At 39.7% G+C, this 15,752-nt stretch overlaps 1 protein-coding gene and 1 pseudogene across 5 annotated transcripts in view; one reads left to right on the forward strand and one right to left on the reverse strand.

Annotated features, from left to right (window-relative positions):
- ROR1 (receptor tyrosine kinase like orphan receptor 1) overlaps window positions 1–15,752 on the forward strand; it is a 407,482-nt gene that overhangs the window by 240,771 nt on the left and 150,959 nt on the right. Inside the window, exons 2-3 of one of the 5 annotated variants that reach the window (XM_017001377.2) lie at window positions 8,611–8,676; window positions 12,481–12,510. The exons of 3 other annotated variants lie outside the window; for them this stretch is intronic. Coding sequence is in view for 1 of the 2 variants with exons in the window: in XM_017001376.2 (XP_016856865.1) it covers window positions 12,408–12,510 (103 nt within the window). In the remaining variant the exon portion in view is untranslated. Of the gene's footprint in view, window positions 1–8,610; window positions 8,677–12,048; window positions 12,511–15,752 lie in introns of those variants that run through there. One more of the 5 variants, XM_017001376.2, reaches the window with a different exon arrangement.
- On the reverse strand, window positions 14,107–14,213 carry RNU6-809P (RNA, U6 small nuclear 809, pseudogene; annotated as a pseudogene).

Here is a 15,752-nt window from a genome sequence, read left to right on the forward strand (position 1 = left end):
GGTTTGCCTTTTCAAATGGCTTTCTTTACCAGGTTGGAGCTTTAGCAGGGAAGTGTGCAGTGTGGGTCTTATAAACATGGGCTCTAAAGTTACTATGACTCTGAGCTTCCTTTTGCTCACCTGTGGATGGAGATATATGTATCTGTTACTGTATTAATCCATTTTCATGCTACAGATAAAGACATACCCGAGACTGGGAAGAAAAAGAGGTTTAATGGACTTACATTCCCACATGGCTGAGGAGGCCTCACAATCATAGGAGAAGGCAAGGAGGAACAAGTCAAGTCCTACATGGATGGTGGCAGGCAAAGAGAGAGCTTGTGCAGAGAAACTCCTGTTTTTAAAACCATCAGATCTCATGAAACTCATTCACTATCACGTGAACAACACAAGAAAGACCTGCCCCCATAGTTCAATCAGCTCCCACCAGGTTCCTCCCACGTCACATAGGAATTGTGGGAGACACAATTCAAGATGAGATTTGGGTTAAGACACTCAAACCATATCAATTACCTAAGGTGGTTTTCCTAGCCAACTAGCATGTCTATGGGATTCATGCCCATGTTGTGATAGGATAGCTGCTTGCTCGGTCACAACATACAGATACATCTTAGACTCAGCCCCCTGGCCTGCCTCTTCCCTCGAAGCTTCACCATCAAGGCCTATGACCAGGTTCTCTAGCTCAGGAGTGGTTTGCTCCCTCTTGTCCCCACTCTGTTACTTGATTTGTCCTTGGCACATGGTCTATTTAAATGGTATTGACTGGCCTATAGCTTAGAGCTTGATGCTTAGCTAGTCAGAATGGGGTGACTGAGTCGTTTTCTTGTGCTTTAATTGTATATATTTGGAGCTATGGGTTGAAGGTGGTATTGTAAGGATAGACTGGATCTTGCCTTGGCTCTTGGCACGTGGCAAGCTGATGAACAGTCTTCCTAGGACTGGGGTGTCTGAGAGCTTATCCATCCTTGTGTTCCAGCTTCAAAACTGGTAGCTGGTTGGGGTCGTAAGCAACATCTTTCTAATATTGATAGCACCATTTTCTTTAAAGGTTGTCACCTTGCCATTATCAACTACTAAAACACTTAGAGCCTCTCTAACCTCATATGGAAAATAGAGGAGTGATATGTACTTGAAAGGGCTGGTGTATGAATTAAATAAAATATAAATCTCATCACAGTCTCTAGCATATATAGGTGCTCACTACTGGTAGTTCTCTTGACCGCCCCCTCCCCACCAACTCCCTTCTGTTTCCCAAGGGGAGGGCAGCATGATTTGAGGAAACAGCACTTTAACAAGGAATCTAGGTTCTAGTTCCAGCTCAGCTCCATCACCAGGTCAATGACCTATTTAAGCTCTGGGCCTCAGGGTTTTCACCTGTTGAAAGGGAGGCATCAATCCTTGTTCTGGCTGCATTACCCATTTTGAGACTCCAATGCTGCGTGAACCAGTATAGTAGCCACTACCCACCTATGTCTATTGAGAATGTGAAATGTGGACAGTCCAAAGTGAGGGGTAGCATCAGTGTAAAACACACTGGATCTCAAGGCCTTAATATAGAAAAGAAAATATCTTACTAATAATTTTTACATTGATTACATGTTGAAATGATATTTTCATATATTGAATTAGTAAAATACATTAAAATTAATTTATAGTACCTGATCCCTTTTAATGTGGCTAGCAGACAGTTTAAAATTACACTTCTCACTTACATTTGTGGTTCACAGTTTATTTCTATTAGATAATGCTGCTCTCAGGAAACAATTGCTGGAACCTTAGGTAAATGTAACCTGTTTCCTCCTTGCAGCAAAAGGAAATGCTCTCATATCCATTCCAGCTTTAAAATTCTAGGAACTACTTTTTATAAAAAGAAATGTTTCTAAACACTGATTTTGTTTGTGTGTGTGTATATAATGCTTTATGTACCCTAGAACTTAAAATATAATTATATATATATATATAAAGATTTTATGTGTAAGGGATTATCATTACTGATTATAGTCTGATCATTATTATAACTAGATTACAAATTGACCACTAATATGATTAGAGACAAGCAATATCTGGAGTAATTTCTCATCTGTGGAGAAAAATATTGTGGGTTAAAAGGCGAAAAACACATAGGGATTATTATTTTTTTTTTCTTTTGAGACAAGATCTTATTCTGTCGCCCAGGCTGGAGTCCAGTGATGTGATCATGGCTCGTTGCAGCCTCCATCTCTCAGTCTCAAGCAATCCTCCCACTTCAGCCTCCAAGTCGCTGGGACCACAGGTGCACCATGTCCAGCTAATTTTTGTATTTAGAGACGGGGTCTCACCATGTTTCCCAGGCTTGTCTTGAACTTTTAGGCTCAAGCAATCTGCCCCCTCGGCCCCCCAAAGTGCTGGGATTACAAGCATGAGCCACCACACTCAGCCAGGAACACCTTCCTGATAGGAGAGCAGGGATTTGGATATATGCGGGGAGCTTCTTGCCTGCTGTATATCTCCTGTATCCCTTTGCTGGCAACCAGCTCTTATTCCCTTTGCTTACACCCAGTATAGAAGCATGCAACATGAAAATCAGTTCCCTTTGACCAAGCAGCTCTCTCTCTCTAAGACCGGTATTAATCCTTTTTGACAAGTCTATTCACTTTAGGGAAAGGCATTGGCAAGATGAGGGATATGGAATTCTATCCGGAAATAGAGGGAAAATGACCGTTTATGGTCCATCTTGATTCTTCAAAACCTGCTCAAAGGGGAGAGATTTGCCATCAGCCCCCCTGCCATCCAGCCATCAATGGAGCAGAAAGGGTCTTCCTCACCATGTAGGGGTCTTTCCAGCCGGTTATTCCAGCTCTTGGCACCCAAGCCCTCCCATCATTCCTCATCTCCCCATCTGTGCTGTTAGGGGGGCATTCAGCCTAGAGGAACGAGGCCCTGTGGGTGCTCTGCAGATGGCTGTGTGAGCAGCATAGAACCCCACCTCCATCCTCCCAGCAACCGCTGCCCCAGCCCAGGCAGGTGAGCAACCGAGCAAGCTTGGAAGTGTTTGTGCTCCTGTTTTTACCATTTAGAATGAGGAGAGAGCTTATCTACCTTATATCTTGAGTCTCAGATTCCTTACTCCCTTGGTACTATTTTCAGTAATTACTGGCTAAGACGAGGCACATTTCTGGACTCATAAATAATAAGGCAGTCACAGAGAAAGAGTGTCTGGCTTTTTCCCAGGCTGTTTTTTCCTTGCCTGTGTGTCTTTTAGTTTGGATTTAAGCCTATCTCCTCCTGTTGCACCCACTTCAAAAATGGCTTTACAGTTTGGCCTCAAGGTACTTCCAGAAACCTATGGACTAGGGTCCTGCTCACAGGGATCATGGAAGTCTTTCCTAGCCCTGGGCCCACAGCTTTGGTTAACCTTATCTAAAGACTTGCTGGGACTTTCGGACTTAAAAGGTCTGCTTGGCTAAAGGGAGGGGAAACGGAGATTATACAAAGTGCTTTACCATGGGGCTCCTCCCTCAGTTTCCTGCTTCTCCTTCTCCACCTTTGCTTGTTGTGCTCTAAAACACAACATCCTATTTCAAGCATCTGTGCAAACCTTACTATTTGCTCTGATGAGAACACCCTCCCCCAACCTTTTGTCATTGTTAAAGACCCAGCTCACACTTCACCACTTCCAAGAAGACTTCCCTGACTCCACCTTCTCCCACTGATGATCACACCTTGTTCCTCCCCATGCCAGGTGATGCTTGTTTGCATGTATGTTCTTCCTCTTCTTCTCCCCATTCTTCTTCTTTCCTCATGCAAGAAATTTTATTGAAGATCTTCGTCATTTCAAGCAAGGCCCTCATGTGTCTCCCATTCAAAGAGAGGTTGACCAGGAAAAGCAGTATGGAGAGGGCTTTGAGAGAGAAAAGAACAGCGTGTCAAGCTGTGAACTTCTTGAGATCAGAAGTCATGTCTTCTTTATGCATCCTTATCTCTCCAACATCTAGTGCAGTTGTTTGAATAAAGAGAGAAATGAATGAGTGGTGAAAATCAGAATACGGGAGCCGAAAGTTACTTTAGAGTAGCTGTCCTCAAGCTTTGGTGGGTGTTAGAGTCACTTGGAGAGACCCGGGTTCGTTGAATCAGGCTAGACCCTATTCCCCTCCATTGTTACCATCTTCCAGGTGACTCTGATGCCCACTAAAGTTTGAGGACCAGTGATAGAGCAGTAATTCTTAACCTCAGCTGTAATTGGTATCACCTGGGGAATTTTAAAAATTACTAATGCCTGGGTCTGTTCTCCTCCTCCCCTCATTCTTATTTTATTGGTCTGGTGTATAGCCTGTGATTTGAGAGGTTTAAAAGGTCTCCAGGTGATTCTAGTGTGCAACAAAGTTTGAGAATCACTGCTTTAGAGTTCTTCTAGGCTAACCTGCCTTGTAGTTTGACTCTTCATGATATTCTAACAAGTGATTAATACAAGTATAGGTGCTTGGCACTTTGTCAATTTCTGTCCTCAATTTTCTGAGGTAATGTAGACAAGACCTGGGCTTGGAGTGAGAAGTCCTTGGTTTATATTTAAGCTCTGTGGCTAACTCCAGATTCTTGAATATTAAGATCTGGATTTTTTCCCCCATCTGTAAAATGGGGAGAATACCAGCCTTCAAGTGTTGTTGTAAGTACAGAATGTAATGACATATGTGAGACGGCTAAGCACAAGCCCCAGAACTCATAAAATAAATACAGAAAAGGGTAGATTGATAGTGATATTGATATATTTTTAAAATATCTGAATGTGTTGGCATAACTCCATCACTTGTTCCTTATGGACATCGGGAGTAACACCTCCCTTTCTCATGAAATAATACCAATTATTAATAGCTACCATCTATCGAGGGCTTATGATATGCCAAGAACCATGTTAAGTGATTTACATGGATTGTCACATTTAATCCTCATAAAAATTCTGAGATACTGTGACAGATTTACAGATGAAAAACTGAGCCTTAGGGAAAAGTCGTATTTTGAATAGTGACATCCTGCCTGCAAAAGATGTGTCCATGTCCTAAACTCTGGAACCTGTGAATTTTTCTTTATTTGGAAAAGGGGTTTTGCACATGTAATTAAATTAAGGATCTTGAGATGAGATTATCCGTCATTATCCCCAGAAGCCTAAATGCCTACAAGTGTCCTTATAAGACAGAGACAGAGGGAGTTTTTAGATGGACCCACAGAGGAGGAAGCAATGTGAAAATGAAAGCAGAGATCACGTGATGCAGCCACAAGCTCAAGAATGCCAGGGCCCTCAGAAACTAAGAGACAAGGAATGAATTCCACTCCAGGGCCACCAGAAAGAGTGTGGCTCTGCTGGATTTTGTACTTCTAGCCTCCAGAAATGTGAAAGAATAAATTGCTGATGCTTTAAGCCACTAAGTTTGTGATAATTTGTTAAAGTAACATCAGGAAACTAAGAGAGATTTAAGCAACTTGCCCTACGTCACAAAGCAGTGAACCCAGAATTCAAACCCATGTTCTTAATCAATATATTATGTTGCCTTTAAGCTGAATTGAACTTTGTAATAAAATGTCTTAGGTTCATTTATTCAACAAATGTTTATTCAGTGCCTACCATGGACGAGGCCTGTACTGGCTGAAGATACAAAAATGAAAAAGGCAGAAACATTCTTCCCTTTGGATACTCTACAATTTAGTGGAAGAGAAAAACTTTAGACAAGGTTTTTCACATACACAGAAATACTGAAAATCATTTAATTCCAGCAATGATAGGTGCTGCAAAGGAGATGAATGAAAAAATAAGACTTATCCTGGAATATAGGATCAGATCCATCCTAGGTAGGCCCAGCTAATGGCTGAGGTAGAGGTCAGCTCTTCATTCCCTCTGGCCTGTTTACTGAGGGTTTGAGGGCTTACAGCTCCACTTTAGCCCTCCTGAGCTTGCAGAAGTTGGTCCACAAACAGATTATTTGGGGATAAAGACCCACAAAAGAAGAAAGGCAGTAAAGAATTCAGCAGACGGCGAGCTCTGCAACCCGTTGCAGACATTATTATGAGGCAGTGGAGTGTGTGAAAACTTCTTTTAGACAAACTTCGAAAATGTTGTGTTCCTGTACCAAGCAAGATTTCCTGTAGGGTCATGAGAAGCTCACTAATCATCTCTTTAGTTCCAAGCTATATTACTTCAGGGAAGTTTCTGTCAAGGCTTCATGCTTAAGTATCTCTTTGTCTGGGTTTATTCTGTCAAATGCTTATTTGCTTAAAAAAAAAAAATGCCCCAAGCCTTAGTTGATCTAGCAGCTTAGGAAGTTCAAATCCCCGCATACCTCAGAGGCCTCCTAGCCTCTGCCCTAATTGCTGCAAATAACTCATGATTTCATTATCTGTGGGCCCAAAGTCAGACCAGACGAACTCTGGCCGTTGGACTATGGTTGTATAGAATTAAAACTGACTTACAAGATTTTTCTATCCATGGTCTTTACTTGTCTTCTGAACTCAGAGACCTGAATTCTTCCCAAAGATCCTTCCTAGGACTCTAATTTCAACCCCAATGTCCTCAATAGTTACATTCACTTATACATTCAACAGGTATTTATGGAGTACCAGTCATGTGGCAGGCACTGTGCTGATACAGAGGTGAAAATACAAAATTCCTGTCTCATGAACCTCACTTTCTGGTGGAGTTAGCAAATCCCTGTGTGGGAAGTACTATTATACCTGACACTTCCTGAGCACCATTTAATGTGCCATAAAAACTCTGCAAGGTAGGTACTATTATGTTCATTTCACAGGCAGGAAAACAAGTTCAAGGTAAAGTGACGCAGCTAGTAAATGGCAGAGCCAGAATTCAAATCCAGGCTTTCCTGGCTACCAAGTCCATGTTCTCAGTGACTATTTATTTCTAAAATAATAATCTGTGTGTATAGGGAGGAAAGAAGGAACAGGCTTAGAAGGCTTTTTGCTGGTAGGATATCCTTTCTGGAAGGGGATATTCTTGATTACCCTTAGGTGGTTTTTCTTATTTGTCTTTTTTCTTTGATTTTCATACTTTCTTTAATAAATATCCTATACTCTTATAGTCAGATAAAAAATAAGTAGAAGACATAAAAATTGTAAAACTCATATATACCCCCAAAGAATTGAAAACAGGTATTCAAACAAATGCAGGTACGCACATATTCATAGCTGTATTACTCACAATAGCCAAAAGATGGAAGCAGCCTAAATGTCCATCAGTGGGATGACTGGTAAACAAAGAGTGGTACAGACATACAATGGAATATTATTTGGCCATAAAAAGGAATGAAGTTCTGATACATGCCATAACATGGATAAATCTCAAAAACACTATGCTGAGTGAAAGAAGCCAGACCTAAAAGGTCACGTGTATGATTTCATTCATGTGAAATATTCAGAAGAGGTAAATGCATAGAGGCAGAAGTTGAATTGGTTGCCAGGGGCTGGCTAGAGTGGGAGAAGGGAGCAATTGCTTTATAGGTACACACTTTCCTTTTGGGCTGCCAGATCTGTTTTCCAATTAGATAGAAATGGTGGTTGTACAACATTGTCAGTATATTAAATGCCACTAAATTGTTCACTTTAAAACAGTTAATTTTGTGTTAAGTGACTTTTGCCAAAATAAAACAAAAATAAGAAAACTCTAAATAAACAAAACAGTCACAATGAAGAGCTTTGGTCTTGCTATTCTTCTGTACTGCCAGGTCTCTGAGGGCTACAAAAATGAATTTAACATTGCAACGCTAACTGTTTTTACTTAGTGCTACAGCCCCATTTCCCCGTAAGAGCCCTGGCATGTCCACTAATAAGGTAACCCCAGGCCATTCACTAAACCTCTCTGGACTTCTTGTGTCCTCAGTTGTCACACAAGGGTAAAAATGTCTACACGAAGTCATTCCCAGATCCTAATATGATAATGTTGTGCTTCGTAAAATGTAAATTGACTTGAATATATGTCTCTTTATTTTTACATCAAGAAACAGTAGGTGATCTGAAATTATCTCTGCTTACCAAGCATCTGTGTTAAAAGAACTGTGAGCATAAGGGGTGAAATCTTGGTAAAGTGTCTATTTAGAGGCCATGCTTTCTGTTGATGTTGACATTGCTGTTTTTTGTTTGTGGGGGTTTTGTTTTTGTTTTTACTTTATAATAACATTTATTTATATAAAAAGGAATGTTTGGGCTGGGGCTAGGAGAAATGTTGAGGTAATGGAAAACTCTAATAATGCGATCATCTATTGAAGACACGAGCTCAGGGAAAGCCTTTCTACTGGTGACAGGCATTTTTCTGCTAAGGATTCCCAATAGGAATCAAATACTGCTGAAGATAGTAGAATCAGACTTTTGTGCTGGATCGCAGGTAAACCCTGGGTAGACCTTGAGATACTGCCCTTGCAGTGGTGCTGAGTAACAGAAGGATGCTAGCATCCTGCATCGAGTCAGAGGAGCTCACTGTAGCCCATCCCTCCAGTCCACCCAGACTAGCTAGACAGTGCCTTCTTAGCTCTCAGCAGCCCTCATCCTACTGAGAGAGGAATTTGGAGAAGACCTGGGGAAACCTTGAAAGACCACCTCAGAATCCAGCTAAACAGCTTGGGTCCTCTTTCCCAGGGCCAGTTGAGGCAGGAGACTAATAGCAGGAAGAGAGATGGCTCCCAGCTGTTCAGCTCTTTTAAGGTAAGGTGGGCCTGATGTGTCACCTGTACTGTTTATTGCCCTTATCCTTAAATAATTTTCTTCCTTTAAAAACAAAACAAAACAAAACAAAAAACTAGCTCTTGCAATATCTAAACATATTTATTTATTGTAGAAAATCTAGAAAGTAAAATGAAGCCAAAATTATGTTACTGCTAACAGATACTGTTTGTCTTTTTAATGCATATATTTTTACAGATATATTTACTGAAAAGGAATCATATTGAGCCATTCTCTTTTGTAAACAACATTTGTCCCTTAGAAACAAATTCGCAAGCATCTTTCTGTGTCATTAAATATTTTTAACATCATTTTTATTGGCCATATTAAATGTTGATATGGTTTGGCTCTGTGTCCCCACCCAAATCTTATCTTGAATTGTAATCCAAATTGTAATCCCCACGTGTCAAGGGAGGGACATGGTAGGAGGTGATTGGATCATGGGCGCGGTTTTCCCCATGCTGTTCTTGTGATAGTGAGTGAGTTCTCATGAGATGTGTTGGTTTAAAAGTGTGTGGCAGTTCCTCTCTCTCTTTCTCTCCTGTCACCTTGTAAAGAAAGTGCTTGCTTCTCCTTCACCTTCTGCCATGATTCTAAGTTTCCTGAGGTTTCCCCGGCCATGTGGAAATGTGAGTCAATTAAATCTCTTTTCTTTATAAATTATCCAGTCTCAGGTAATTCTTTATAGCAGTGTGAAAATGGACTAATACAAATGGGAGCTGGGCGCAGTGGCTCATGCCTGTAATCCCAGCACTTTGAGAGGCTGAGGCAAATGGATCACCTAAGGTCAGGATTTCGAGACCAACCTGGCCAACATGGTGAAACCCTGTCTGTACTAAAAATACAAAAATTAGTAGGGCATGGTGGCATGCACCTGTAATCCCAGCTACTTGGGAGGCTGAGGCAGGAGAATCACTGGAACCTGGGAGACGGAGGTTGCAGTGAGCCGAGATTGCACCACTGCACTCCAGCCTGGGAGACAGAGTGAGACTCCATCTCAAAAACAAAAAACAAAAAACAAAAAAAACAAAAACAAATGTGTTCCATTGTAGAGGTATTCAGTAATTTACTGAACCTATTATCACCTATTGTTGAAAAGTTAGAATTATTCTAGCTTTGTGTTATAAATAGTAGGGTGATGATAAATGCCTTAAAGGGCCCAGGACAGTACCTGGCCTCATGGAGGTACCTACTACACAGTGTTCTCTTAAATCTCTCTGCATATTTACATCCCTAGCAACAGTGCAGGAGAATGTCCTATTCTACTACTACTTACCTTCACTCAAACTAAGTATTGTCATTTTCTTGGTTGTTGTCAATTTTAAAAGCAAAAAAATGGTATGTCATTGTTATTTTAAATTCCATTTCTTTGATAACTAAGGTTGAATTTTTTATGTTTAGTAGCCAGTTTATCTCTAACATATTAATTTTTCTCATTCTACTATTAAGATACTGATCTTTTGTTTGAAATCTGCATTTTTTCTAGTTTAACTTTTAATTTTGTTTGCATGTATATTTTAACATGGAAAAATTTTATTTTTATGAAATTGAATCTATCAATCTTTGGTGTCATGCTTAGAAAAGCCTTCCATTCTCCAAGATGATCAAAACAGTCACTTATATTTTCTTTAAGGTGTTATAAGTAATCACTTCCTTTTCAGTCTGAATCAAATTGAGCAATATTTCCACCCCTAGGAAGGGCAGCAGATTAGTCTGGTGCCAGAGACAACTTTTCTCCACAACCTAGACTCAGGGAATCTCCAAGTTGAATGACCTCTAGAAGTCGTATAATGTGAGCTCCTGGCTGATAACGTGATTCCCGTCTTCCAGAAGCCTGATAAGTGGTGGTTCCTCGCTTCTGTACTACTGGTGGGAGTATAAACTAGTACAACCACTATGGAAAAAACAGCATGGAGATTCCTTAAAAAACTAAAAATAGAACTACCATTTGATCCAGCAATCCCATTACCCAGAGGAAAAGAAGTCATTATACAAAAAGGATACTTACACACACATATTTATAGCAGCACAATTTGCTGTTGCAAAAAATGTGGTATCAGTCCAAATGCCCATCAATCAATGAGTGTATAAAGAAATTGTGAGATATATATATATGTATATATACATACACATATACACACATATGTACATATATATATACACACATATACACATATATATATGATAGAATACTTCTCAGCCATAAAAAGGAATGAATTAATGACATTTGAAGCAACCTGGATGGAAATGGGGACTGTTATTCAAAGTGAAGTAACACAGGAATGGAAAACTAAACCTTGTATGTTCTCACTCATAAGTGGGAGCTAAGCTATGAGAATGCAAAGGCATAAGAATGATACAATGGACTCTGGAGACTTGGGGGAAAGGGTGGGAGGTGGGTGAGGGATAAAAGACTACTAATTGGGTTCAATGTTTACTGCTTAGGTGATGGGTGCACCAAAATATCTCAAATCACCACTAAAGCACTTACTCATGTAACCAAATACCACCTGTTCCCCCAAAAGGTATGGAAATAATTTTTTAAGTGGCGTTTCCTTCTAGCTCAACACTTTCTTAAGTGACATTACACAAGAATAACCTATTCTTCTTTTTGAGAAACTCTAAAATTAGGTAGGCCTTTCTTATGTTGAGCCAACTTGTCTTCATTCTCACTCTTCTGTGTTTTATTCCCTCTTCTGCTCAGAAAGTGGCTGGGGGCTGTTCTCTGGACTTTGCAGTAAGATTGGCCTGAGTTTCTAATCTTATACTCAGTAGCTGTATGGCTTTGGGTAAATTACTTGATCACTTTGAGCTATAGTTTTATCATCTATGAAATGGGGGTTCAAAAATTACTATTATTACACATTCTAACTTTGAGACAGACAAAGCTAAATGCTGGAGCAAGTGGGCATCAATGCTATTTTATTTAGCAGTTATGTGTGGTCATTTTAGACTTGATTATGACTCAAGTTTTCCTTTAGTTCTATGCTTCTAAACTGTGTATGCTGTATTCAAAGCAGTATCTTGTAGTATAATTTATGCTTAATAAAGAAAGCCAAAATATATCTGTACTAGTCCATTTTCACGCTGCTATAAAGAACTGCCCTGGGCTTGGTAATTTATAAAGAAAGGAGGTTTAATTGACTCACGGTTCCACATGGCTGCGGAGGCCTCAGAAAGTTTACAATCATGGCTGAAGGGGAAGCAGGCATGTCTTACATGGCGGCATGTGAGAGAGAGTGTGTGAACGGGAAACTGTCAAACACTTATAAAACCATCAGATCTCATGAGAACTCCTTCATTATCAGAAGAACAGCATGGGGAACCTCTCCCATGATCCAATCACCTGCCACTGGGTCCCTCCCTCAACACATGGGGATTATGGGGATTACAATTCCAGATGACATTTGGGTGGGGACCCCAACCATATCAATATCTCTAGATAAAATTGTAAATACTTTGAAAAGAAGCAAGAAGGATCAAAATCAGTGTCATAATATATTAATACCAACAATCTGTTATGAAACTTATTGTTACATAGATGTGTCCTCATTAGTTCCAGTGTTCCTTTGAACTTTGGATAAAATGACAAATAGCCTTTCAGACCTTGTCTGTTTTTAGGTAGAGGACCTGGTATATGGACACCTAAACCTCATGAGGTTGATTTGAGAATTACAGGAGATCATGCAGAGCTCTGATAGTGCATTTTCATTATGATGTTATTGCCCACAGAATCTCTTCTTTCTCTGACTAAAGTTTCCATTCATTTCATTATCCCCTTCCTAGCTTGTTTTCCAGATCCTTCCCTCATAAAAGGTGGGCTCCTGGAGTGAGCACAGAATACTTTGTGCTGCCACTTCATTTTGCACTTTTTTTCTGCTAATTCATTTTATGCTTTTATTTCTCAACCTAAATTATCTGCTGCTCCATAACATCAACTTATTAACTTATTGTTGACTTTTAATCAATGGCAATTAACTAAATCTCCTGTGAGTTTCTTGCGGTTTTTACCATTCACTTGCATCTCCCTTTTCTCATACTCATTGTTTAATTCTCATCTCTCATTGTATAATCGGTGTTTTGTGTCCCAGCACTCACTAGAAGCTATTCCTATTATATTTCAACATGTTAGATTTGTCATATTATTTGATGCTATCATTTTGCATGCTCATAACATCCCAACTTTGTGTATGATATTAATTTCGTTCTTTTTCTTTTTTTTTTTTTGAAAGAGTCTCACTCTGTTGCCAGGCTGGAATGCAGTGGCTTGGTCTCAGCTCACTGCAATCTCTGCCTCCCAGGTTCAAGTGATTCTCCTGCCTCAGCCTCCTGAGTATCTGGGATTACAGGCACCTGCCACCACATCCAGCTAATTTTTGTATTTTTAGTAGAGATAGGGTTTCACCATGTTGGCCAGGATAGTCTTGATCTCCTGACCTCATGATCTTCCTGCCTCGGCCTCCCAAAATGCTGGGATTACAGGTGTGAGCCACTGCGCCTGGCCTTAATTTAGTTCCTATCTAAGATGTTGATATGGCTGTTGGCAGGAAAACAATGTAGACAGAGCCTCTATCATGATTATACCTTGTCTTGTTGCCAGTGTGGAGAACTGCCTCTCTTCTCTTACAAATGCATGTAGTTTAGATTTTTTAAAAAAATTCTTTTCACTGATTTCAGCATCTTCCTGTTTCTCTGAACTTTAAGGTCAGCATTCCCATTTTGTCACATTAATTCACTCAACAAGCATTTGATGAGCTATGTGCCAGTTACTGTGGTAGGTGCATAAATAAGTAATATGCATCTGTCCTCAAGATGCTCACAGTCTAGTGGAAGAAACAGATCAAATGAATTGGGCACATAATAGGTTTGGGGAAGTTTGGGTAAGACTTTGTGGAGGTGACATTTGAGTTGGGTATTACAGGATGCATGGGCGTTTGCTAAATAGGAAGCAGATCAAGGACACATCTGGCCATGACCCACATCTCCTCTCTTTAGCCCACATGAATGCCAATATTGCATGCATATTTTCTCTCACAGTTGCTGCTGTTTTTCTGAAAGCAGTGTTTTCTCATTCACAATTAGATTTTTGTTCTTGGCATTCTAGAAGATGCAATTGCCATCCAGAAATGCTAAGAAGAAAAAATATGCACCATTCTAAGAGGACTTAAAAAAAATTTTTTAGATACATAGTAGGTGTATATATTTATGGAGTTTTTGAGATATTTTGGTACAGGTGTGCAATGCATAATAATCATACCATGGAAAATTGGTTATCTATTCCCTTAAGCATTTATCCTTTGTGTTACAAATAATCCAGTTATACTCTTTTAGTTATTTAAAATGTACAGTTAAATTATTATTGCCTATAATACCCCTGTTGTGCTATCAATACTAAGTCTTATTCATTGTTTTAAAAATATGGAACACTTCATGAATTTGCCTGTCATCTTTGCCCAGGGGCCATGCTAATCTTCTCTTTATTGTTCTGATTTTAGTATATGTGCTGCCAAAACAAGCCCCAGAGGAATTTTTAAGGTGTATTCAGATCATTGAACATCCTATATCACTCTTATGTCTTGTTTCAGTACTAGTTTTATGATCATTAATTATCGTATATTTATATTAATAAAAATAATATTTGTTAACATTTATAGAGTACCTTCCACATGCTGGGTGGAAGGTACTTAACCTACCATCCTTCTGTGAATAGTACCTGTGAATCATACCTGTGAATGGTACCTTGCATATATTATCTCCTTCTACCATTAACAAAGAAGAAATCTGAGCTCAGAGAGGTTGAGTAACCTCAGGTCATGTAACTAATCAAGCAGCAAAACAGATTTGAACATTGGTTTCTCTGTCTCCTAAGCCTGACCATTTACATTTTCTTATTCTACCCCATTGGTCAATATACCCTCTGACTCTCTTCCTTGGTCTTTACCCATTGATTCTCCTCGTAATTGCCCTTCGTATTAGTCTGCTAGGGCTGCCATAACAAAGTACCACATGCTGTGTGACTTAAACAACAGAAATGTATTGTATTACAGTTCTGGAGGCTGGAAAGTCCAAGATCAAGGTCCAGCAGGAATCAGTTTCTGGTAAGGGCTCTCTTTCTGCCTTACAGATGGCCACTGGCGTCTTGCTCTGCCCTTACATGGCAGAGAGAGACAGACTGACAGAGAGAGAGGTCCTTATATTTTTATGAGGCCACCAATCTTATCAGATTAAGACCCCACCCTGATTACCTCATTAAATGTCATCTCCTAAAAACCCTGTCTCCAAATACAGTCACATCGGGGTTAGGGCTTCAACCCTAACTCCAATATAAATTTTGGAGGAACACAGTTCAGTCCATTGTACCTTTCTTAAAACATCACATGTATTTTCATTTCTCCATGGTTTTGCTTATGCTGTTTTCCCAGCATAAGCTTTCTGTCTTTTAAAATCTTTCCAATTATTCATTACCCAACTCAAATGTCATTTCCCATGAAGCCTTCTCTGGTTTTCCAGTCAAATTTAGTTGCCCTTTCACCTACTCAATAATGATTTTTTTGACTGTATTTTGATTGAGCCCCTATTTTACCCAAACTACATTATATACTTAAGCTCCTTGAAGTTAGGGACTCTGCCTTAATATGCTCCCAGTTTGCTCCCAATTTTATTGGTACTCCATAACATTTATGACTTGAGTTTTTCATTAGCTCTAAAGAATGATGGAGGCAATTGGGTGGGTGTAGGCTAGATAAGAGAAATGCTTGTGCCCATCTCCAAGTGTTGGAAGTGATGCCTTACAGAAGACAGAAAAAATGTTGCTTGAGGGGTTTAGACTGAGACCACCAGGTAAAAGTTACAAAGAAGCACACTTCTGCCCAGTTTATGGAAGAACTTTTTAATAAATAACAAAAAGGTGAAGGAAACTAACACTCATTGATAATCAGTTGCTAAACTGCTGCTTTACAATTTCCACTTCCACATGGTCCTATAAAATAGTTCCCATCTTTTATAGATGAGAAAACCACATTTCCAAAAAGTGTAAAGATCTGATATAAGATCATGTA

The sequence above is a fragment of the Homo sapiens genome, chromosome 1, assembly GCF_000001405.40.
Source record: "Homo sapiens chromosome 1, GRCh38.p14 Primary Assembly".
Lineage (NCBI taxonomy): Eukaryota > Metazoa > Chordata > Mammalia > Primates > Hominidae > Homo > Homo sapiens.